General features: G+C 43.4%; 1 long non-coding RNA gene across 4 annotated transcripts in view, besides 6 other annotated features; it reads left to right on the forward strand.

The window, feature by feature from the left end:
* LOC105371870 (uncharacterized) overlaps positions 1 to 22415 on the forward strand; it is a 29274-nt gene extending 6859 nt beyond the window's left edge. The window contains exons 2-4 of one of the 4 annotated variants that reach the window (XR_934937.4): positions 9290 to 9411; positions 10035 to 10085; positions 11107 to 22415. This is a non-coding gene — a long non-coding RNA (uncharacterized LOC105371870). Of the gene's footprint in view, positions 1 to 8442; positions 8934 to 9289; positions 9412 to 9524; positions 10086 to 11106 lie in introns of those variants that run through there. The other 3 variants (XR_001752982.3, XR_001752983.2, XR_001752981.2) reach the window with 3 other exon arrangements.
* Positions 9856 to 9985: an enhancer, noted in NCBI's record as "active region_12637". NCBI's record gives its function as "activates an Ori minimal core promoter by ATAC-STARR-seq in GM12878 lymphoblastoid cells {active_cell/tissue: GM12878}" and the evidence as "EXISTENCE:reporter gene assay evidence [ECO:0000049][PMID:35858748]".
* Positions 11177 to 11246: an enhancer, noted in NCBI's record as "active region_12638". NCBI's record gives its function as "activates an Ori minimal core promoter by ATAC-STARR-seq in GM12878 lymphoblastoid cells {active_cell/tissue: GM12878}" and the evidence as "EXISTENCE:reporter gene assay evidence [ECO:0000049][PMID:35858748]".
* Positions 11267 to 11326: an enhancer, noted in NCBI's record as "active region_12639". NCBI's record gives its function as "activates an Ori minimal core promoter by ATAC-STARR-seq in GM12878 lymphoblastoid cells {active_cell/tissue: GM12878}" and the evidence as "EXISTENCE:reporter gene assay evidence [ECO:0000049][PMID:35858748]".
* Positions 12099 to 12699: an enhancer, noted in NCBI's record as "H3K4me1 hESC enhancer chr17:66180501-66181101 (GRCh37/hg19 assembly coordinates)". NCBI's record gives its function as "activates a minimal SCP1, AML or CMV promoter by ChIP-STARR-seq in primed H9 embryonic stem cells {active_cell/tissue: H9 hESC(primed)}" and the evidence as "EXISTENCE:reporter gene assay evidence [ECO:0000049][PMID:30033119]".
* Positions 13580 to 13669: an enhancer, noted in NCBI's record as "active region_12640". NCBI's record gives its function as "activates an Ori minimal core promoter by ATAC-STARR-seq in GM12878 lymphoblastoid cells {active_cell/tissue: GM12878}" and the evidence as "EXISTENCE:reporter gene assay evidence [ECO:0000049][PMID:35858748]".
* Positions 13770 to 13839: an enhancer, noted in NCBI's record as "active region_12641". NCBI's record gives its function as "activates an Ori minimal core promoter by ATAC-STARR-seq in GM12878 lymphoblastoid cells {active_cell/tissue: GM12878}" and the evidence as "EXISTENCE:reporter gene assay evidence [ECO:0000049][PMID:35858748]".
* Positions 22416 to 23312: the final 897 nt, after the last annotated feature.

Genomic DNA, 23312 nt, shown 5'->3' on the forward strand with positions numbered 1-23312 from the left:
TCACTATCTTGAATGTGATGATTTGAGCTGTATACCAAGGGTCAGATACCAAATTGTAATCTCGGTATATGCACAGTTTATTATATGTCAGTACCTCAGTAAATCTGCCTAAAATGTTTAAAAATTACTGTAATTATACAAAATACATTTTATGAAAAGGAAGTCATGAATGGAGCATGGTTGAGAACCCCAGCATCAGGTAGATTCAGAAGGAAGTCATGAGTGGAGCATGGTTGAGAACCCCAGCATCAGGTAGATTCAGAAGTGGGGAAAAGCATCTCCCACTTCCCCTTCTTCAGGCCAGCGTGCTGTGCAATTTATCCAGTGGCCACTAGAGGACAGCAGCGACTCATGTACAGGAAGTCGGCGTTTCAGGGTTTCAATACTAAGAATTCCCTGCTCTGTGCTCCCTATCCTGGGAGGTGGGCGTTAATACCCCCATAATACTCAGTTAGAGCTGAGACTTGGGACTCGGTTTCTGGCTCCTGATTCCATCTTGTTGGTCCCCCAACACCAGGAGCACAGGGAGGTCGCCCAGACTATAGCGCAGTTGGCACTATCTCAGCTCACTGCAACCTCTGCCTCCCAGGTTCGAGCAGTTCTCCTGTCTCAGCCTCCTGAGTAGCTGGGATTACAGGCGAGTGCCAACACGCCCGGCTAATTTTTCCATTTTTAGTAGCGATGGGGTTTCACCATGTTGGCCAGGCTAGTTTCAAACTCCTGACCTCAAGTGATCTGCCTGCCTCAGCCTCCCAAAGTGCTGGGATTACAGGCATGAGCCACCGTGCCTGGCTGACAACACTCTTACTAAATTAACTGCAGAGAGGTTTAAGAAACGCCTAAAGAATCTGGTGTGGTGGCTTACGCCTGTAATCCCAACACTTTGGGAGGCCAAGGTGGGCGGATCACTTGAGCCCAGGAGTTCAAGACCAGCCTGGGCAACATGGCAAGACCCCTTCTCTACAAAAAAAATTACAAAAATTAGCCGGGCATGGTGGTGCGTGCCTGTAGTCCCAGCTACTCAGGAGCTTGAGGGAGGAGGATCCCTTGAGCCTGGGAGTTCAAGGCTGCCGTGAGCTATGATGGCACCACAGCCTGGGTGTGAGAGTGACACCCAGTCTCAAAAAAAATAATTGTGGACACACATTGAACCCTCCCAGTGGGTGAGGCATGATGCCAAACACTGTATGAAGGGAATCATCTCATCTTCACAGCATTGTTACTAAATAAGCTGCAGAAAGGTTAAGAAACACCCAAAGTCATAGAGCTGGTAGGAGGCAGTGCAAGGATTTGCATCCAGATTTGACACTAACACGTGGGCCTCGCTACTGCTCTGTAGTACCCACTTAAACGGAAGTGTCCTTCTCGATTATTTAGTTCATGTGTTACACTCGTTGGTGTTGGTAGCAGATGGTTGGTATTGTAGTTCAGCTTTCTGGAGAAAGCTTGTCAGGCTTCAAGAGAATGTTTAGCATCTGTGATGGTCCATGAGGGAGGTTCCCCTCTCCACCCCTTCACCACTTTACATGGAGCATTTACAGTGTGTGAGTTTCCATGCTAAGGATGATACTTTCATGATGACAGTGTCTGAAGGGCAGGTGGGCAGAGGCCAGCAACATGGAACTGAGGGGTCAGTGATGCAGGAATCCAGTGACATTGTTTATTTGCACTCACTTAAAAGGGTTTGTCAAACACAGCCCAACTCAACTGGAGTCCTGAGAAGGTGACCAGACCAGGATGGAGGCCCAGGGAACTCACCAGAAGTCCCCATGCATCAGAACAAGGTCGAAGCATCCTGGTGAGTAGATAACACGTGCCCATGCTTTGTGGGAGGAAGTCCTCCAGCAGTTTCTCTCCTTCCCCTTGGCTTTGACTCAGCCTACCTGGGATTATGCAGTTGGTTCTCCACTCCAGATGCCTCAGGGAGGTGACCCTTCCTGTTCTGGGTTCTGCAGAAACCAACAGCTCTGGGCTTGTGCCCATCAAGCACTCTTCTGCCCATTTTATACTCTTGTGGACGCATGGTGGTGTTGATACAAGCCCCGAATTAAAGGATCCATGGCTGCCCGTGACAAGACAAAGCAAAAGCAGGCCAGAGTTAAACAGGCCCCTTGGGTCCCTTCCTTCATTTCATAAATGGGAAAATCAAGGTCTGGGCAGGGAAAGGGACTCAGCCAAGGCCACATACACAGCACACTGATGGCCGAGCCGGGGTTAGGACTCCCAGCATACCCTGTAGACTTCTCTAATAATAGATAGGCTGCTTGGTTTTTCTTTATTAAGGGTTGGTTACACATTATCTCTCTCTGTCTTTCTTAAAACAATTATTCTTTAATATCTTTATATATTCAGTAAGTGTTCAAATTTCCAACTATTTTATGTCAAAAAGCATTTTCTAACATTTTTATTAAATCAAGATCCAAACAAGATGCACACAATATGATTAGTTGATGTCTCTTAAATCTCTTTTAATCCATGGATTCCTCTTTAATCTTTCTCTTTTTCCCTTTATTCTTTTTTATTTGCTTATTTTTTTCAGACGGAGTCTCGCTCTTGTTGCCCAGGCTGGAGCGCAATGGCGCGACCTCGGCTCACTGCAACCTCCGCCTCCTGGGTTCAAGTGATTCTTCTGCCTCAGCCTCCCCAGTAGCTGGGATTCTAGGTGTTCGCCACCAAGCCCAGATATATTTTTTTGTATTTTTAGTAGAGTTGGGGTTTTGCCATGTAGGCCAGTCTGCTCTCGAACTCCTGACCTCAAGTGATCTGCCTGCCTTGGCCTCCTAAAGTCCTGGGATTACAGGTGTGAGCCACTGCGCCTGGCACAGAAATGGTAATATTCTATCATCCTGTCTTCATTTATTAGCTGGATTACTTCTAAAGAGAAACTCCTCCTTGTTAACTATTCCATTACCTGGAGTCTTATCTCATCAATTCTGGGAAGATTCTGGGTACGTGGGATTATCCCCACTTCCATGTTAGGCCAGAGGTCAGAGGGGCTGAAGGAACTGTCACCAGCAGAAGAATTGGCTGGCCCAGCCAACCGACAAAATCATAATAAATAATTAAAAAGTGAAGGCTGGGTGTGGTGGCTCATACCTGTCATCCCAGCGCTTTGGGAGGCCTGAGCGGGAGGCTTGCTTGAGGCCAGGAGTTTGAGGCTGCAGTGACCTATGGTCACACCACTGCACTCCAGCCTGGGCAACAGAGTGAGACCCTGTCTCTAAAGAAATTAATAATCAAGTGGTTGTTTTAAGGCCCTAAATCCATCAGCAGCCCATGCATGGCAAAACCAGGCCTAGGGGCCCCTGGGCCCTTTCCTTCCTTCACAGGAGGTCAGACCTGCACAGAGTCATCAAGAGCATGCAGTTCAGCCTCGCCATGTGCAGATGGGGTGGCTGAGGACTGGGAGGTATAGTGACTCATCCAGGCCTGCGCACATCACCCAGGTCATGGGCATATCCTTAAAAGAAACTCCTGAAAATTCCTTGTGATGGGTTTCAGTGTCTTTGCTGGCTGGGCCTGATGTTCTCACTCTAAAGCCTGTGCCTGTAAGCACTTGCACTAGGCCCACCATTCGACCTGATCTTATTTCCTGTGGTGTTCTCAATGCTGATAACAAATGCTTGGTAAATATCTGTTGAAATGAATCAATGAATGAAGGAGGTGTTGTTTCTGTATGTCAGGAATGGGCTGCTCCTGGACCTCTCCACTGGGGAAGATACTGGAGGCATTGGGATGTCCACAGAGCAGCCATCCTGGTGGGCCCAGCGAAGGAGCCAAGGGCACAGGGATGAGTGGGAAGCAGAGAGTGGGAGGCAGGCAAGAGAGCTCACTCCAGGAAAGCAAGCAGAGTGGGAGACCTGCCCTCCACCCTGGCAAGGGTCCAGCCGAGGAACAGAATCCTGCTGGGTGGGGAGGCAGCATAGATGGGGTTCCAGCAGGTAGCAGGGACCAGCCACTGAGCTGGGGTGAGGGCAGAACTCCAGTTGCAGGATGGAGCAGGCCGGGCCCCCATCCTTACACTGGGCAAGTGACCAAGGTGAGAACTCAGGCCCAAGGAGCAAGTCAGAAGCCCTGTGTATCAGGTAGGATTCAGTTGGGTTGAGAAGAATGAAAACCCTCAAATATCATTGTCTCAAACAAGTTCAAAGCTCAGTTTCTCTCTCATGTTTAGCTGTCCTGAGGGAATCAATCCAGAGCCAACAGAGTGCTCCATGATGCAAAGGCTCCTGTCTTATTGCTCTGCCATCCACAAACATGACTTCTACCCCATGATACAATATGGCTGCTGGAGCTCAGCCTTTCCATGCTATATTCCAGGTATCAGGAAGGAGTATGGGAAGGAGAAGAGTACTCTCCTTTTTTTTTTTTAACAGCAATTCCCAGAACTGCACAGATGGTTTTCTTTACATTCTTTTGGCCAGAACTGAGTCACATGGCCATGTCTAGCTGCAAAGGAGGGTTGGAAATGTTGTCTTCTTTTCACGTATTCATGAGCCTAGCTAAAAATCAGAACCTGTAACTGAAGAAAAGAGAACATAACTCCAGTGACTCAAATTATGACACAAGCCAGAGGTCAACCAGGGAACTCACAGTTCAGGCCCAGGGTGCTGGGCTGTAGCCATTTACACCCCTGCTGCCCTAGGTCCTGGGGCTTAGGCAGGCTGGTGTCATATGACTCCCACTGTGGGAGGGAGGGGCCGTGGAGCTTAACCACAGTGCTTGGCTGTCCAAGTACCTGCAACCACAGCAACGGTGGGTATTGTTTGGGGGAGTGGGGGGATAGTCTCACTCTGTCGCCCAGACTAGAGTGTAGTGGCTTAATCTCTGCTCACTGCAACCTCTACCTCCCAGACTCAAGCAATTTTCCCACCTCAGCCTCCTCAGTAGCTGGGACCATAGGCGCACACCAACATGCCTGGCTAATTTTTTGTATTTTTAGTGGAGTCGAGGTTTCACCATGTTGCCCAGGCTGGTCTCAAACTCTTTGATTCAAGCAATCCACCCACCTTGGCCTCCCAAAGTGCTGCTGGGATTACAGGAATGAGCCACTGCACCTGGCCTTTTTTTTTTTTTTTTTTTTTTGTAGCTAACCCAGCATTAGCCCAGGAAGAAGCCTCAACGGCAAGAAAGTAGGGTTAGTCTGCTCATTGGCAGGGACAGGCACAGACTCAGAGGCCAACAGCTGCTTGATGCTGAGAAAAGTATCCTCAAAATATGGGTCAAGGCCAGGGACTGCCTTTTCCCAGGAGGCAGTGATGTGGCTGATGACAGCTTCTTTTATTCTTTAAAATTTTACTATAGAATAGCATCCATGTAGAAAAGTACATAAATCATAAATGTACAGCTCAATGATTTTCACAAAATGAACACACCCAAGTAGCTAGCACCCAGATCAAGAAATAGAACATTATCTAGAACTTTAGAAGCCGCCCCCATCCCCTTCTTCCTGTCCTCTTCCCACCCTCCCCAGTCTTCAACCACCAACCCCCACCGGCATTTTTTTTTGAGACGGAATTTCACTGTTGTTGCCTAGACTGGAATGCAATGGCGTGATCTCAGCTCACTGCAAACTTCGCCTCCTGGGTTCAAACGATTCTCCTGCCTCAGCCTCCCAAGTAGCTGGGATTACAGGCGCGTGCCACCACACTTGGCTAGTTTTGTATATTTTTAGTAGAGGCGGGTTTTCACCATGTTGGCCAGGGTGGTCTCAAACTCCTGACCTCAGGTGATCCACCCGCCTCGGCCTCCCAAAGTGCTGGGATTACAGGTGTGACCTGCCGCGCCCGGCCCCCACCAGCGTTTTTGTAAATCAGTGTAGGTGATTCCACAGTATAGTCAATGTTGAGAACCACTACTTTCATAACAATGCTTCTCAAACCTGGCTGCAAGTTAGAATCCACTGGGGAATGTCTGTCTTTTGAAGTAGAAGATGGAACCAAGATAGCTAAGAAGGCAGAGTGGCACTTGCCATGGACCAGCTGTGTGACCTTCAAGGAGTTCTTTCATCTCTGTCAGCCTCATCTGGGAAATGGGAACACGATCACATTCCTGCAGAGTTGGGGCTGAGAGATAGAGGATGTCAGCCCAGGCACATGTAGGGGCTCCTGATACGTGGCAGCCACTATTGTTCTTATTAAAAGTGAGCAGCCCCAGCCGGGCACGGTGGCTCATGCCTGTAATCCCAGCACTTTGGGAGGCTGAGGCGGGCGGATCACAAGGTCAGGAGTTTGAGACCATCCTGGCTAACACGGTGAAACCCCGTGTCTACTAAAAATACAAAAAATTAGCCAGGTGTGGTGGTGGGCGCCTGTAGTCCCAGCTACTCGGGAGGCTGAGGCAGGAGAACCCCGGAGGTGGAGCTTGCAGTGAGCTGAGATCACGCTATTGCACTCTAGCCTGGGAGACAGAGCAAAACTCTGTCCAAAAAAATTTAAAAAAAAAATAGATTAAATAAATAAATAAAAGTGAGCAGCCCCAGGAAGATGTAAAGCCCTCACTTCCTTTACGCAGATGGAACCCATTCTGGGGATAGGGGACACAGGTTTTGTTGATGAGAGGTCACGGTCCTTCTAGGGAACACAGAAAAATTCCAAGAGCAGCAGAGATTCCAAGCCGAGGTGGACGGTATCAGAGACCAGTGGCTGCGGATGCACTTGGGCAGGCCCAGCTTTGGCAAAGCCAATCTTCCTTTGGCAAGAACAGTGACTGGCTGCAGGCTGTGACGCTAAAAGCTGCTTATGGAGAAAGAAGCAACCTTTGTTGAGCACATACTACGTGCCAGACACTGCCTGCATGCCTTAAATTGTGGGAGCAGTCAGACTGATCCCTTTTTAACAGTTGAGGAGCCTGAGGCTTGGAGGCTGCAGTGCCTGACTTCCTCACCGAGGAAAACCTGGTGTCCCCATGAGCCTGGGATCTGCCTCTGTTGGGATGCATGCCTGAGGGCATGCTGCATACAGAGTGACCTGGGGATGTGTTGTTTGATTAGATGCTCATCTTTGTAGTTTTGCCTAAAACAAAAAGTACATGGCTTTTTAAGCCATTGACAACTTTATTCTTTGCACCTATTATATCACATGTTCATTGTAGAACATCTAAAAAATACAGATAAGCGAAAAGAAAAAAAATCAAAATCTGTCCTAGTCCCAGCCTACACAGATGGCCACTGTCAATGTGTGAGCATATATTTTCATACATGTGAGTCTGTTTGCATGTGTGTGTAGAAACTTAACAGAAAGGAGTCACATGCTACACATTGTCAAAATCTTCGTCTTCAGTTAATAATATATAGTGGCCATCTTTCTGTGCCATTAATTATTTATTATTATTTTTGAGATGGAGTTTCACTCTTGTTGCCCAGGCTGGAGTGCAACGGCACAGTCTTGGCTCACTGCCATCTCCGCCTCCTGGTGAGAGGTGACAGCATGCTGGCAGCCCTGGCTCACTCTTGGCGCCTCCTCGGCCTCGTCGCCCACTCTGGCTGTGCTTGAGGAGCCCTTCAGCCCGCCGCTGCACTGTGGGAGCCCCTTCCTGGGATGGCTGAGGCCGGAGCCGGCTCCCTCAGCCTGCGGGGAGGTGTGGAGGGAGAGGCACGGGCGGGAACCGAGGCTGCGCGCCACGCTTGCGGGCCAGCTAGAGTTCCAGGTGGGCGTGGGCCTGGCGGGCCCCGCACTCAGAGCGGCTGGCCGGCCCTGCCGGCCCCGGGCAGTGAGGGGCTTAGCACCCAGGCCAGCAGCTACCGAGGGTGCGCCGGGTCCCCCAGCAGTGCTGGCCCACGGGTGCTGCGCTCGATTTCTGGCCGGGCCTTAGCTGCCTCCCCACGGGGCAGGGCTCAGGACTTCCAGCCCGCCATGCCTGAGTCTGCCCCGCCCCGCCGCCGTGGGCTCCTGCGCCGCCTGAGCCTCCTTGAGGAGCACGGCCCCCTGCTCCACGGCGCCCGGTCCCATCCATCGCCCAAGGGCTGAGAAGTGCGGGGGCAGGCCGCGGGACTGGCGGGCAGCTCCACCTGTGGCCCCCGTGCGAGACCCACTGGGTGAGGCCAGCTGGGTTCCTGAGTCTGGTGGGGACTTGGAGAACCTTTATGTCTAGCTAAGGGATTGTAAATACACCACTCAGCACTCTGTATCTAGCTCAAGGTTTGTAAACACACCAATCAACACCCTGTGTCTAGCTCAGAGTTTGTGAATGCACCAGTCAGCACCCTGTGTCTAGCTCAAGGTTTGTAAATGCACCAATCGACACTCTGTAGCTAATCTAATGGGGACGTGGAGAACTTTCGTGTCTAGCTCAGGGATTGTAAACACACCAATCAGTGCCCTGTCAAAACGGACCAATCAGCTCTCTGTAAAATAGACCAATCGGCTCTCTGTAAAATGGACCAATCAGCAGGATGTGGGTGGGGCCAGATAAGAATAAAAGCAGGCTGCTGGAGCCACCCGTAACAACCCGCTCTGATTCTCTTCCAAATAATGGGAAGGTTTTTCCCCCCGTTTTTACAGTAAGTTTTGCTGCTAATCACTTTGGATTTTCACTGCATTTATGAGCTGTGACATTCACTGTGAAGGTTTAAGGTTTTGCTGTTGAAGCTGGCAAAACCACAAAACCACCAAGAGAAACTAACAGTTCCACAGGCACTGTCTTAAGAGCTGTAACACCCACCATGAAGGTCTGCAGTTTCACTCCTGAGCCAGCGAGACCATGAACCCAGCGCAAGGAAAAAAGTGCAAGTACATCCGAACTTCAGAACATCAGAAAGAAGAAACTCTGGACAGGCCCCCTTTAAGAACTGTGACACCACCTGCGAGGGTCTGCGGCTTCATTCTTGAAGTCAGCCCAAGAACCCACCGATTTTAGACACACTGGGTTCAAGCGATTTTCCTGCCTCAGCCTTCCAAGTAGCTGGGATTACAGGTGTCCACCACCACGCCGGGGTAAGTTTTGTATTTTTATTAGAGACAAGGGTTTTACAACATTGGCCAGGCTCATCCCAAACTCCTAACTACAGGTGCTTCTGCCACCTCAGCTTCCGAAAGTGGTGGGATAAGAGGCATGAGCCACTGTATCTGGCCTCATTAAATATTCTACAACAGTGGCACTGCATTAGAATCCCTGGGGAAGCTTTAAAAATGTCAATGCCTGGGTTCCACACCTACAGTCAAATTTAATTCATCTGAGGTGGCCTGAGGTTTGGAATTAAAAAAAAAAAAAAAAACTCCCCAAGTAGTTTAAATATGCAGCCAAACCTAAGAGCTGCTAAACTGCAACTTTTTTTTTTTTTTTTTTTTAGGTGGAGGAGTGCTCTGTTTACCAGGCTGGAGAACAGTGGTGCAGTCTTGGCTCACTACAACCTCCATCTCCCAGGTTCAAGTTATTCTCCTGCCTCAGCCTCCTGAGTAGCTGGGATTGCAGGTGTGTACGACTACACACGGCTAATTTTTGCATTTTTTTTTTTTTTTTTTTTTTTTTTTTTAGTAAAGTCGGGGTTTTGCCATGTTGGCCAAGCTGGTCTCAAAACTCCTGACCTCAGGTAATCCACCTGCCTCAGCCTCCCAAAGTGCTGGGATTACAGGCATGAGCCACCGTGCCCGGCCAGCATTTTTCAACAAGGGCTTTGCATTCCATTTGCTGAAGGGGGTGCGCTGTAATTTGATCAATCCCCTTTTCTTGGACATTTAGGTTGGTTCCAATTTTTATATCATCATAAACCAGCAATTAGCATGCTTTTTCTGTAAAGAGCTAGGTGGTATTTGTTCTGGCCTTTGCAGATCACAAGTTCTCTCTTAGAACTACTGAGCTCTGCCATTACGGCAAAAAACCAGCCACAGACAATGCATATATGAATGCACATGGCTGTGTTTCAATCAGACTTTATTTAGAAAAACAGGTGGTGGCCAGATCTGGCCTGTGAGCCATGGCATGGTTCACTGAACCAACTCTATAAACATTGTGTGGTACATCTTTTTGAAGCCAAACTTTCCTAGTATGAAATGATCATTTTCTTGTGACAATGATTTTATACTGTTTCTTTTTAGAAGTAGGACCCTTCTTTGAATGAAACTTAGTAAGATTCATATAAGTAACAGGTAAGAAGTCATTCTGTTAGCATAAATATATTTTATAAATTCAAATGTGCAGTATTTAGAAGGCCAGTTAGGGGTTGCAGATGATTGCCTTTTTTTTTTTTTTTTTTTTTTTTTTTTTTTGAGGTGGAGTCTCGCTCTGTCGCCCAGGCTGGAGTGCAGTGGCGCGATCTCAGCTCGCTGCAAGCTCTGCCTCCCGGGTTCCCGCCATTCTCCTGCCTCAGCCTCCTGAGTAGCTGGGACTACAGGCGCCCGCCACCACGCCTGACTAATTTTTTGTACTTTTAGTAGATACGGGGTTTCACCGTGTTAGCCAGGATGGTTTCGATCTCCTGACCTTGTGATCCGCCCACCTCGGCCTCCCAAAGTGCTGGGATTACTGGCATGAGCCACCGTGCCTGGCCAGATGCCTGCAGTTTTAAATCAGACTCGGCACCAGTGACATTCAAATCAAAGTTTTGCAGAACTAGCAAAGCAACTCTATGGAACCCCAGGATTCCACTGGGAACACAGTTTGAAAATCATTGCAATAGGATAAATTCTTGGAAGTGGAATTGCTGGAGCAAAGGGCCTGAACCTTTTAAAAGCAGTTTGTGGCCAGGCACGGTGGCTCACACCTGTAATCCCAGCACTCCCCTCTGTGCCGTGACTCAGGAACCAGGTAATGTGCTGAGTCAGGCCCCAGGCACAGGAAGCCACAGATCAGACACAGCTCAACAACAGGCTTCCCTGAGCCCCCTTGGCTCACACCAGCAGCAACGCCGGGTTCCATGTGCAGATAAGTGATCCATCTCAGTCTCTCCCAGCTGACAGGGAGTTGAAGGTTCTACTCTTGGCCCTGATCCTAATACCAGTGCCAATAATCGAGCACCTACTATTTGCAAAACATTGGGCCAGGAACTTGACCACATCCTCCCTTCATCCTCAGAACAACCCGTTAGGGAGGGCCTCCCTGTCCCCATTTTCTAGATGAGGAAATGGAGGCTTTAGAGCAGCTAACGTGGCTTATACAACCTGCCTGCAGAACCTTCCAGGTCTGAGCTGAGGTGTCATCTCTGAACACCAGGCTGCTGCACTAACCAGAAGACCCCTCCCCACCTGCAGTGGCCTCGCTGCATCGTAAGGATGGAGGAGCTGTTGTCTCCACAGCTGACAGGTGCTTAGTGGTTAGAAGTCTGGTTTTCGCGCGGCTTAGATCTTTAACATCTGAACTAGTCCTGTCAACATATTTTGTTATATTTCTGGTGGCTTTGTCTTTGATGCTATTATAAATGATTATCTTTTAAAATAATACTTTGATGATATATAGAAATGAAATTGATTTATTTGACTGTATCCAGCAACCTTTTCAAATTCTAATAAATTGTGTAGGGAAAAAAAAGTCTGGCTTCGGAGTCAGAACGGAATTGAATCCTGCCTCCACCACTTCCTACCTATATGACCTGGTGAAACTTATCCCTCTCTGTGACTCAGTTTCCTCATCTGTAAAATGGGAAAATTGAAAGCAACTAACAGGTTTGGGGCCGTTTTGCTTGCTGCTGCTGTGGCTTCAGTGCTGAGGCCTGGCACTCAGCGGGATGTCAGCCCAGGACTGGAGCTTCTTTCTCATGGTATTATTTTGAATTTAGATGAAAAGAGGTATTCCAGGAGAGCTCCTGGCACAGGGCCTGGCAGGTGGCACATCCTCAGTAAATGTGAGCTGCTGTCAGCTGCTGTGTGAGTGCCTGGTGTGGCCCTGTTGTCCCCTTGAGGGTTGGGGGACAAAACAGGCCCTCAGGAAGCCTGCCTGTGTATTCGGGGGCTGGGGAGATCTCTGACCTCCTGTCTCCTAGCTCCACCAGCATCTCTCACCTCCCCCAGCAATGTACAACCCCTTCTTTTCCCATAGCTTAGGCCCCTGAGGTACCAGCCCCCCAGCCTAGGGACAGCCCAGTGGCAAACTCCTGGTGACCTGGGTCAAGCTGCTGTTCTCCAATCCCAACTCGGCTCTTCCCGTGACTTGGCCCCCAGGCCTTGGGTGAGGCTCCGATGAAATAACACACAGGAATGTGCGCTGAACACTGCCAAGCACTGCAGGTGGGCAGGGGCTTTGTGCTCCCCAGCGACTGTTCCTATCCTGCGGGAATGGAGGAGACCGACAAAGAAGCCCCACTCCTGGGCTGACATCCTGCCAGTGCCAGCCGGGCCTCAGCACCAGTGGGTCAGCCAGAACAGCAACGACGAACAATGAGGCCCCAAACCCGTGGGCCCCCCACTTTCTATCTTGAATTTCTCTGTCTTTCCTAGGCCAGCAATGTTTGAGAGGGAGAGCGAGCTGAAGATTTCCTGATTTCAGATAGGCCTAGAGAAGGATTGTAATTTTCTAGTGTGAAAAGGAAGTGGCACAAAGATGAGGGCAATGAAGAAGATGGTTCAATGGAAGTACCAGGGTCCTGTAAATAGGGAACGTGTTTTATGATCAAACCGTTCTTTGCATTTTTGGTGATTTTGAGGTTTAATTTCCTCTATGTAGTTAGTTAACTATTTAACACTGAGAGCAGGGGTAGGGATAAGGCAAACAACAAAAAAGCCAAAATGAAACCAACTTCTGTGGGGTTTCCCCACCCCAGGGAGGTGGAGGCTGAGGTAGAACTGACTGAGAGAATCACCCTCCCTGCACTGTGATGAAGACACATCCACACATCAGGACTACACAGCTGGCAGGTGCTGGCTGTCCAGAGGAGCAAACAGCTTCTTCCTTGTGTTTCTGTGTCTCTTAGTAGAAATCTGTGCCCTTGGGAGAAAACTGAATTTGCACCCCTTGAGGCAAACACTTGACCAAATGAATTAGGCAGATGGGTGGATGGGTGGGTGAATGGGCAGGAGGTGTGACAGGCAGGAGGCGTGACAGGGAAAGAACACTGTTCTGACAGGCACACACTGCCACATCTGCCCTCCCAACAACCCCGATACAGACACTGTTGTTAACCCTCCTTTTACAGATGAGGAAACTGAAGTTAATTTGCTCGTGGTAACACAGCTAGGCAAGTGGCTACGTTCAGCTGGAGAAAAGGAAAATTCTGAAAGACTTTAGGATACATCTTATTCAAAAGCATTTGGTGAACATAAATATGTACCCAAGGTATAATATTAAGTGAACCAAGCTTGTTATAAAGCAGTATGAGTCCTGTCTGATTCCAACTTTATAAAAAATAGATGCATATGTCAATAAATGCACAGAAAAGGGTATACCCTAAAATGTTAATAATGGTGATCTCTGGGTTATGACACAAAATATTGATTGGTCTTTGGGCTTTTCTTTAATTTTAAAATGTTAATAGACATGTATTATCTTAATAATGGGAGGAGCCACAGAAAAAGTGCTTTTCAAAAACATGAAATCAATAAGCCCATGCAGGACCTGCAGGGGGCTGCAGTCACCTGGGCCTCATAGGCTTGGCAAAGGCTTTAGTTATGCCCTGATTGGAGGCCACTGGCATGGAGAAGCTGTAGGTCAGCTAACTGGAACTAGGACATCCAATGTGATTGGTTATGTGTGCATATTTGTCTTTCTTCATTGGGTCCTAAGTTGCAAGCAGGCGCAAAAATTAAGGAAGCTGTGAGTCAATGAAGTCCTGGCTGTTTTTCAGCTGGTTGCTATAGGGTTGTTTTTTGACTTTCTAGACTGGTTGCTGTAGAGGTGGGTCAGAGTTTTACTTTCATCTATGGTCTGGCCATTGTATTTGTATATTCAGTCTCTTAGTCACCCCTTTTGGTCATTCGCTTACTTTCAAGAGGTTGGCCAATTCAAGGAAAGCTGGAAATCTAGCTCTTTATCACTCAGAGATTATTCAGTAAACTCCATATAAAACTGTATTGCAAAATATTCCTGACCTTTTTGTTTTTGTATCATCATGGTGATTTTGACTAGAGAGCAGATGTGCAGAAGCTTTTAAGAATCTAGATAGCACGCAGCATCATGTCCACTCTTACAAAGCCAGAATAATTAATAGTTCCTATAAGGTGATTTGGAACCAGGAACCTCAATTGCCAAATCAAGGCCAAAATAACAAATTTGATAGATTATGGGATCAACCTTAGCCAAATAGCTTATACCATGAAACAATATATAATAGTTCCAACTTGCTTGTTTCTTTGATCCAAGGACAAGAAGTATGAGCAACGGCACAGACACCAGGATGACTAAAAGAAAAAAAAAAAAAAAACCTAGGGTAATGTTATTGTCTATCACTGCCCATGCCAATGAGTTGAGATTGTTCTGTATTTGTATCTAGGACAAAGGCAATATCATCAATAACTTCTGCCAGAGTGAGTATCTTAGTCCATTCAGGCTGCTGTACTAAAATACCATAATTTGGGTGGCTTATAAAGAATAGAAATGTATTTCTTTCAGTTCTAGAAACTGAGAAAATCAAGATAAAGACGCCAGCAGACTCGAGGCCAGGTGTGATAGCTCATGCCTGTAATCCCAGAACTTTGGGAGGCTGAGGTGGGTGGATCACCTGAGGTCTGGAGTTCAAGACCAGCTTGACCAACATGGAGAAACCCCGTCTCTACTAAAAATACAAAATTAGCCAGGTGTGGTGGTGGGCAACTGTAATCCCAGCTACTCAGGAGGCGGAGACGGAAGAATTCCTTGAACCGGGAGGCGGAGGTTGTAGTGAGCTGAGATCGCGCCACTGCTCCCCAGCCTGGGCCGGAGCCAGACTGTGTCTCAAAAACAAACAACAAAATAAAACAAGAAAAGATTTAATGGAAGACCTCAATAAGCCATTGTAGGCTGTAAAATTCACCTAGTCCAATCTTTCAGAGTCGTTTTGGACTTGATAGTAGCTCAGTACCAAGATCATTACAGAAGTTAATACCAATAATAGCCATTGAATATATTGTCTCTATAATGTGGATCAAATTCTCATTTGACTGTACTGACATTGGTGATAGAAGGTGCAACCTGATTTACGCTGGGGTATATCAGGTGATTAAAGTTAAGGCAGGCTAGAGAAAAAGTGAAAGCACTCAAATTGCTGATTTGGAGTGAATGATAAAGCAATTTAATACACCGTCTCTAAAGCATCCGTTTTCGCCTGTCCGAAGAGTTTTAAAGGATATTTGGCCAGAAAATTTCTACCATGTGTCAGAATATTAATTTGCATGTATGCATTCATAGTTCATGGGATATTATTTTAGTGGTTTTATTATAACTGCATAGAATGGTTTGCTTCTTACTGAAGATCTTTCTTTTTTTCTTTCGTTCTTTCTCTTTCTTACAGCCATAGGTGCTTTAAGTCATTAAACTTTGAGCACTGTAAAAATATCTAAAGAGTGCTTATTTTTATAACATTAATACTCCATTTGCAACTTTAATTATAGTTACTTCATTTTTAAAATCTCAGAAGATAATGAAATATGTAGAATTGCCAAAACAATTGAGAAAGCTCACTGCATTCGTTTGGTAGAGCTGTCGTAACAAAGTGCCATGGACTGGATGGCTTAAACAGAAACTTACTTTCTCACAGTTTTAGATGCCAAAAGTCCAAGATTAAAGGTATTGGTAGGTTTGGTTTCTTCTGAGACCTATTCAATTGGTCCATAGACTGCTATCGTCTCCCCGTGTCTTTACATCGTCATTTCTCTGTATGTGTCTGTGTGTAAATGTTCTCCTCTTAGAAGCACGCCAGTCACATTGGATTAGGACGCACCCTACTGACCTTATTTAACCTTAATTGTGTACTTCTCTAAAGACCTTGTCTCCAAGTATAGATACTCCGTGATATTGAGGGTTAGGACTTCAACACATGAATTTGGCGGGGGTGGGTGGGCACAATTTAGCTCATAAAACTCACTAAGGTTTAATTAGGGCATGGACTGTAGAGCATTCTACTGTTAATTTAGTTTTTGTGTTTGGAAAGCATTTTGAAACATAATGATTTTTATTTACAATTTCATTATTTATATTTTCATTATGTTTAGGGTTGCTTGGAGGTAAATGAAGAAAGAAGAGTTCCGCATTAGTGAGGCAGGGATGTCAGTATATAAGGAATTGGAAAGACATCAGTGATAATGGCAAAAGCTGCTTATAAATTAAATTAAGAGCTTAATTAAACTGAGGAAAAAAGCATATTGCCAAATTACATGCAGTTGTTTTGTAACAGCATTTGTCCACTTGCTGTGCCCTGAGATTTCCAAGGCACATTCCTCTACTAAGCGTATTATAAGATGATTAAATATGCATAGTACAAGTATGTTATGGAAGGCTGTGTTAACTGATATAGTGGGACCACAATAGTATGTGTAAGTGAGATTTGGAAAATTTGATATGCCAGCAAGGACAAAGAAGTGTTGAATTTGCAAGTTTATGCACATAATTCTGAGAATCCAGGCAGCTATTTCTCCTTTTGAATTGTTCTCTTGGCTAGGGGATAAGGGTGAGACACAATACACATTTGAATGTGTCACTGTGTAAGTTACCACTGCAATATCTTCTGTATGTTGAAAAACTGGTACTTATATGTACTAATACTATCTACCATGAAAAAAACAATTAAAAATTTAAAATATCATGTAAATTAAATAAAGTTCAAATACCACTAGCCAGAAAAAAATATTTTATATTATAGTCTGGGGTCAGAAGAGGAAAACCTTATGTAAAGTATCAAAATTAATTTTTATTTCAATTTAAATGCACCATCATATAACATAGTTTCATAACTGAAATTACATTTGTCAGAATTTGATCTTTTCATTATTAAAGAATTGAGGGAAAATTGATGGTTATAATATTGATATGCCATGTAAATAAACTTTTTTTGATTGTTATAGGAATGAATTGCTCAACTAATTGGCCAATGTCAACCACATATCTGTTTCCATGGAAACTGCAGCAATATTACTTCAAATAGTTTCATTTGTGAATGTGATAAACAATTTTCAGATAAAAAATGTATACATACATATACCATTTGTCCTGGATTTTTTTTTTTTTTTTTTTTTTTTTTTGTGAGACGGAGTCTAGCTCTATCACCCAGGCTGGAGTGCAGCGGCGCGATCCCGGCTCACTGCAAGCTCCACCTCCCGGGTTCCCGCCATTCTCCTGCCTGAGCCTCCCGGGTCGCTGGGATTACAAGTGCCCGCCGCTACACCCGGCTAATTTTTTATATTTTTAGTAGAGATGGGGTTTCACCTGTGTTAGCCAGGATGATCTCGATCTCCTGACCTCGTGGTCCACCCGCCTCGGCCTCCCAAAGTTCTGGGATTACAGACGTGAGCCACCGCGCCCGGCCTTGTCCTGGATTTTTTAACCAAGCACTATTATTTATAGTTGCGTTAAAATAAATAGGGATGGGTTTGATAAGTCACCACTTGGTGCTTTAAATTCTGCCATCATCTTTTCTAGGAGTGTAAGATATAGAGATACACATAAGCAGAAAATTTTTTTTAACATGAGGATAATATGATAATGTAACCAGTGATAACCTACCTCTCTTTTTCAATGCTTTCCAGATGCAAATTGTATTGTATCAATCATTCAAGGACAGCTTGTAGGACTTTGAAGACCCAAGCAGCCAAAAAATAGCTAATTCCTCCTTATTTCAGTTGGTATGAAGAGAAGGTTACTAATAATGCTGCTCTTCCAGCACAAGTCTTCTGGGCTGTCAGTGAGCTTGGTCAGTGGGAACCACAGGAAATTATGAGTTATGTTTGTTATATATGAGAGGAAAATTGAGGCTACCAGTCTTGTCACAGGGTTTATAGATAATTGCCTTGTGTGCCACCATGCCTGGATAATTTTTGTATTTTTAGTAGACAGGGGATTTCACCATGTTGGCCAGGCTGGTCTCAAGCTCCTGACCTCAGGTGATCTGCCTGCCTTGGCCTCCCAAAGTGCTGGGATTACAGGCGTGAGCCACCGCGCCCAGCACCCCATTAAATCTTATCACAAAGCCTCTTCAAACTTGGCTCCAATGGAGGGAATTGATACTTCAGCAATATTCTGTCTTCTACTCCATGAGCATAAACTGATGCTATCCTGAGCAAACTAGAATGATTACCCTATGAAGGTTCAGTAACTATAATAGGGGTATTTTTGGCATTAGTTTGAGACCTACAGCCTGTGCCAAAAGTGAACAGGAAGCATCACATTTAAAAGATGTATAAAATATGTCTATATCTATCCATTTGATATGGCTTGACTGTGTCACCACCCAAATCTTATTTGGAATTCCCACATGTTGTAGGAGGGAACCGGTAGGAGGTAATTGAATCATGGGGGCAAGTCTCCCGTGCTATTTTCATGATAGTGAATAAGTCTCACGATATCTGATGGTTTTAAAAAAAGGAGTTCCCCTGCACAAGCTCTCTGTGTTTGCCTACTGCCATCCATGTAAGACGTGACTTGCTCCTCCTTGCCTTCTAATACATCATCTATCTGGTTATTTCATACATATTTTCTAGCATTTTATTATTGGTTTCTTCAAAACTCTTCAGAAACTAATATATGTATATTTTCCACCATGATCAACTGTGCATATTAATATATATTATTTGGTATATGAATGTGGATTCATAATTGAGATTATGTTCCAATGAGTCATAGTAAAAGTACAGAAAATTAATATTTCTAATGCCTTATCAACCGATGATTATTATAAAATTAGCCTTTATGTCAAGTTCTCATTGCTCTTGAATTTCATTCCAAACAGAATTTTGGAATTCATATTATTTGGAATAGTATAGCTGTCATACCTAAATTAGTTTAATAACCCACATCTAATGCAAATTTACATTAAGATTTTACATAAATAATTATGGTGTAGAGTATGACAATCCTATTTCAAAACCACAGAGCCCTTAGAAAAACAAATTCTTGATTTTTCAGATATCTCAAATACTGTAAAATACAGTATAACTAAGAATAATTAGCCATGAGGTCAAACTTCAATTTCAAACATTATAAAAGTAAAATTAAGAGTTAAAATCTAAAACCACATGAAAATTTATTCTTCATTATAATCTCAAATTTGAAAACGTTATATAAGATTTATGCATTCATTAGAAAGTGATTTATTGTAATTTTATAAGATTTGCCAATTTTTAAAGGTGTATTTTTGATCAATGCAATTAAATGTTAAAATTATTATGCTATACATTATTAGTTCATGACACATTTTCAAATATGAATGTGATGTAGAAACAGGTGATTATCAGAAAATAAACTCTGTTTTTAGTTTAAGACTAAATTAAAGCTACCAAAAAGAAATTTAGTTTCAAGATAGGAAAGTTTATTTGTAAGGATGCTGGGATGTTTGAACCCAAGATGAGTGATGTTTAAAAGGTTTTGCAATGGCATTCAATGAATAAAAAATGTTTAGAGTTCAGTAACTTCAGTTACCATTTTGGACAGATAACAAGAGATCCAATCTGACTAGCAGAGAATAGTGTAAGACATTTAGAATAGTTAGCAGTTTAAATCAGAGGGTAGACAGATTATTTTCCAATGTAGAGTACATATTTCTCCATTTGCATAATCCTCACCAGTGGGTAGAATTTATGAAGAATAGAATTTGGTTCATGGAAAGAAAAGCAGGCAGGAACTAAATCAGATATAACTTTCTTCATATTTAATAACTGAAGTTTACTCCTATTTTGAGACTCAATTCTGATAGAAGTTGGAAAATTAATCTGTCAGTTTAACCCTATCTCTAACCCCCTGCCATGTAGAGAATTGAACTAGCCTTCGCTCTCATAAGTGGAATTTTAAAAAATAATGAGTTACATGAGCTGATAAGCACACATGCATAGTCAATGTTAAGGCTTAGCATTTATAAAATTTGGGATGATAATTTATGGCAAATGTTTAACACATTTAATAAGATAAATAGTTTTTAAGGCATTGAATAGGTAGGAGTTCATATGAGTTTACTCTGGGTTGCTATTACTTTTACATAGTCAAACTTTATTTTGTAGTATTTTTCTTCTTGATTCTCTAGTCACTATGATAATTATTAGTATGGATGGTGACTTTTATTTCCAAGCACAGCATAATCCACAATAACATAACATTTAAAAGCAAAGGCTCTGTATCGATTATTAACATGAACAATTTCCTTTGCTACCATACTCCATCCAGATAAAGAACTGAATGTTCCTCTGAACCTTCCAATTAATTTCCTCCATTGTGATGAATCCTCCATAGATTTATTGGCAAAACATTATTTCTAAGTGTTCTCCACCCTACTATAAATTGTCTCAAAATAGTTTGTGTCTACCAACAAGGTAGTATAGACTATAAACTTAATAAATAGTAATTATTGATAATTATGAGATACCAGGATGCTAATGAAACTTTATTGCTTGTATTGAGAAATGAGAGTATAAATTGAGTATAAAATGAAAAGACTTGAATGCTTAGTAAAGCATATAATGTAGCTAAAGTTATTAAACAGATATATGTATATGCCAATTTGAATGTCTTTTTATCGTTGTTCAATGTATAGAATACTTATTTTTTCCTTTTTTTAGTTGACACAGTAATTATACTTACAGGATACAGAGTGATATTTTGATATATCTATACAATATGTAAGGATCAAATCAGAGTAATTAACATATCCATCACTTTATCATTTCTTTGTGTTGTGAACATTCAGAATCCTCTCTTCTAGCTTTTTGAAAATATATAATAAATTACAGTTAACCATATTCACCTTGCAGTGTTGTAGAACACCATAAAACATTCCATCTAGCTATAATTTTGTATCCATTAACCAAACTGTCCCCATCCTCCTTTTCCCTACCCTTCCCAGCATCTTAATACTCACAATCCTACTCCCTACTTTCATGAGCTTAAATTTTACTTAGGTCTCACATTTGAGTGAGAACATACAGTATTTATCTTTCTGTGCCTGATCTTTTTCGCCTAATATAATGTCCTACAGGTTTATCCATGTTGCCAGGAAGGACAGAATTCCATTGTTTTTATGACCGAATAGTATTCCATTGTGTATATAGACCACATTTTCTTTATCCAAGCATCTCTTCATGGACATATAGGTTGATTCCATATCTTGACTATTAGGAATAATGCTATATAATAAGTATGGGGGTGTGGCTATCCCTTTGGTATACTAATTTCATGTCCTTTGGTTATTTTTAAATACTATTTAATATGCACCTTTCTTTTTATCAGAAAATACATGAAGTAGTAAATAAAATAATCTCATCTCTATTTTGGCTTTTGAGGAAGTGGCAAAAATATAGTTATAATTTGGAATTATTTGACTCCAATTATTTTGATCTTAAACTAATAAGTTGCTTTTCTGGTTTATTCATGAAAATGTCAATGAAATATTTAATAATGTGTATCTGTGTATTTATATAAGGCTCGTAATATCCTATAGCCCTTGAAAGCCAATATGGCTCACTTACTTTGCCATTTTTAAGTTGTCTTTTTATTAATGATTTGTAGAAAAACTATATGTCCTGGATAGAAGTCACTTGTCAGGTATGCATATAGTACAAATAATTTTTTTCTGTCTCTGGCTTTTTATTTTTTTGATATTTATTTACTTATTTAGAGACTTCGCTCTGTTGCCAGGCTGGAGAGCAGTGGCACCATCTCGGCTCACTGCAAGCTCTGCCTCCCATGTTGAAGCGATTCTCCTGCCTCAGCCTCCCGAGTAGCTGAGACTACAGGCATCTGCCACCATGCCCAGCTAATGTTTTTTGTTTTTGTTTTTGTATTTTTTGTATTTTTAGTAGAGACAGGGTTTCGCCATGTTGGCCAGGATGGTCTCAATCTCCTGACTTCATGATCTGCCCACCTCGGCCTCCCAAAGTGCTGGAATTACAGGCGTCAGCCACCGCGCCCGGCCACCTTTTTATTTTTTCCACGTATTTTGATGAGCAAAAGTTTACAATGTTAATACAATCAATTTATCATTCTAAAACACATTTTGTAGGTGTTGTGCCTTCTTTAGGAAACATTTGCATATTCCAAAGTCAGAAGTAATTTCTCCAATGCGTTCTTCTAGAAGACATACAGTTATTTAGCCCTCTGTTTAGGCTTATTATCCACTCAGTTAATTTTTGCATTTCATGGAAGGTTGGTTTATTTTTTTAATATATGGAAATATAGTTCGGCACCATGTGGCAACTCTTTCTTTTACCCATAGATTTGCTTGGCATCTTATCAAAAGTAAATTAAACATATATGTGTGTATGTCTAGTTCGGTAATCTCTATTCTATGCTATTGGTCTATTTTTCTTTCCTTAGCCAATACTAGTGTCTCCTGATAGTGTATATTTATATTAAAACTTGAGGTTCTGTAAAACAAATCCTCCAGTTTCTTAGTCTTTATGAAAATTGTCCTGACTATTCTAGATCCTTTGCGTATACATATAAATCTTAGAATTCACCTGTCAATTTATTTTAAAAATTCTACCAGAATTTTAATTCAGCCTCTTTTGATATTTGCCAAATATTTGCCAAGGAGTTACTTGCCAAAATATCTCTTTCCTTTCCTTTTACAGTTACACGTATGGTAGACTCAGAATTCTCCTACTGGTCACTGAGGCTCTGTTCATTTTAGTTCAACCATTTGTTAAACTTTTAAACCATTTTTTTAACTTATAAAGCAAAGAAATCATTTAATTTTCAAGTCAAGTTTCCTTGATTTGAGCTCAAATAATAGCTCAAATCAAATAGCTGATGGCGGGTGCCTGTAATCCCAGCTACTCAGGAAGCTGAGGCAGGAGAATCACTTGAACCCAGAGGTGGAGGTTGCAGTGAGCTGAGATTGTGCCACCGCACTCCAGCCTGGGCAACAGAGCGAGACTCCGTCTCAAAAAAAAAAAAAAAAAAAAAAAAGGCTGATATATGGTGTGCGCTAGGCATGTGGTAAGCACTGCTTAGTGGACCTCATTTAATCTTCCCAATAATCCAGTGAGGTGGGTGTTACTATCCCGTTGATAGGAAAGAAAGCTGAGCTGCAGAGATAAGGCAGAACTCCCAAGGCCTACCAGGCAGCAGAGTGGGGCATCATACATGCCTGACCCCACGCAAAGACCATCACTACTGCCAGCCGCTGCCTGGCTGTGTGCAGGTGGGGAGAGACCTAAAAGGTAGGGAGGGAGAGAAGATTCCTCCAGTCACTATTTTCTAAGCAGGTCAATGCTTAGACCAATGCTGAGTTCTGCTGTGTGCCCACCCTGGAGGGTCCCAAGGTGCCACCA

The sequence above is a fragment of the Homo sapiens genome, chromosome 17 (genome assembly GCF_000001405.40).
Source record: "Homo sapiens chromosome 17, GRCh38.p14 Primary Assembly".
Taxonomy (NCBI): domain Eukaryota; kingdom Metazoa; phylum Chordata; class Mammalia; order Primates; family Hominidae; genus Homo; species Homo sapiens.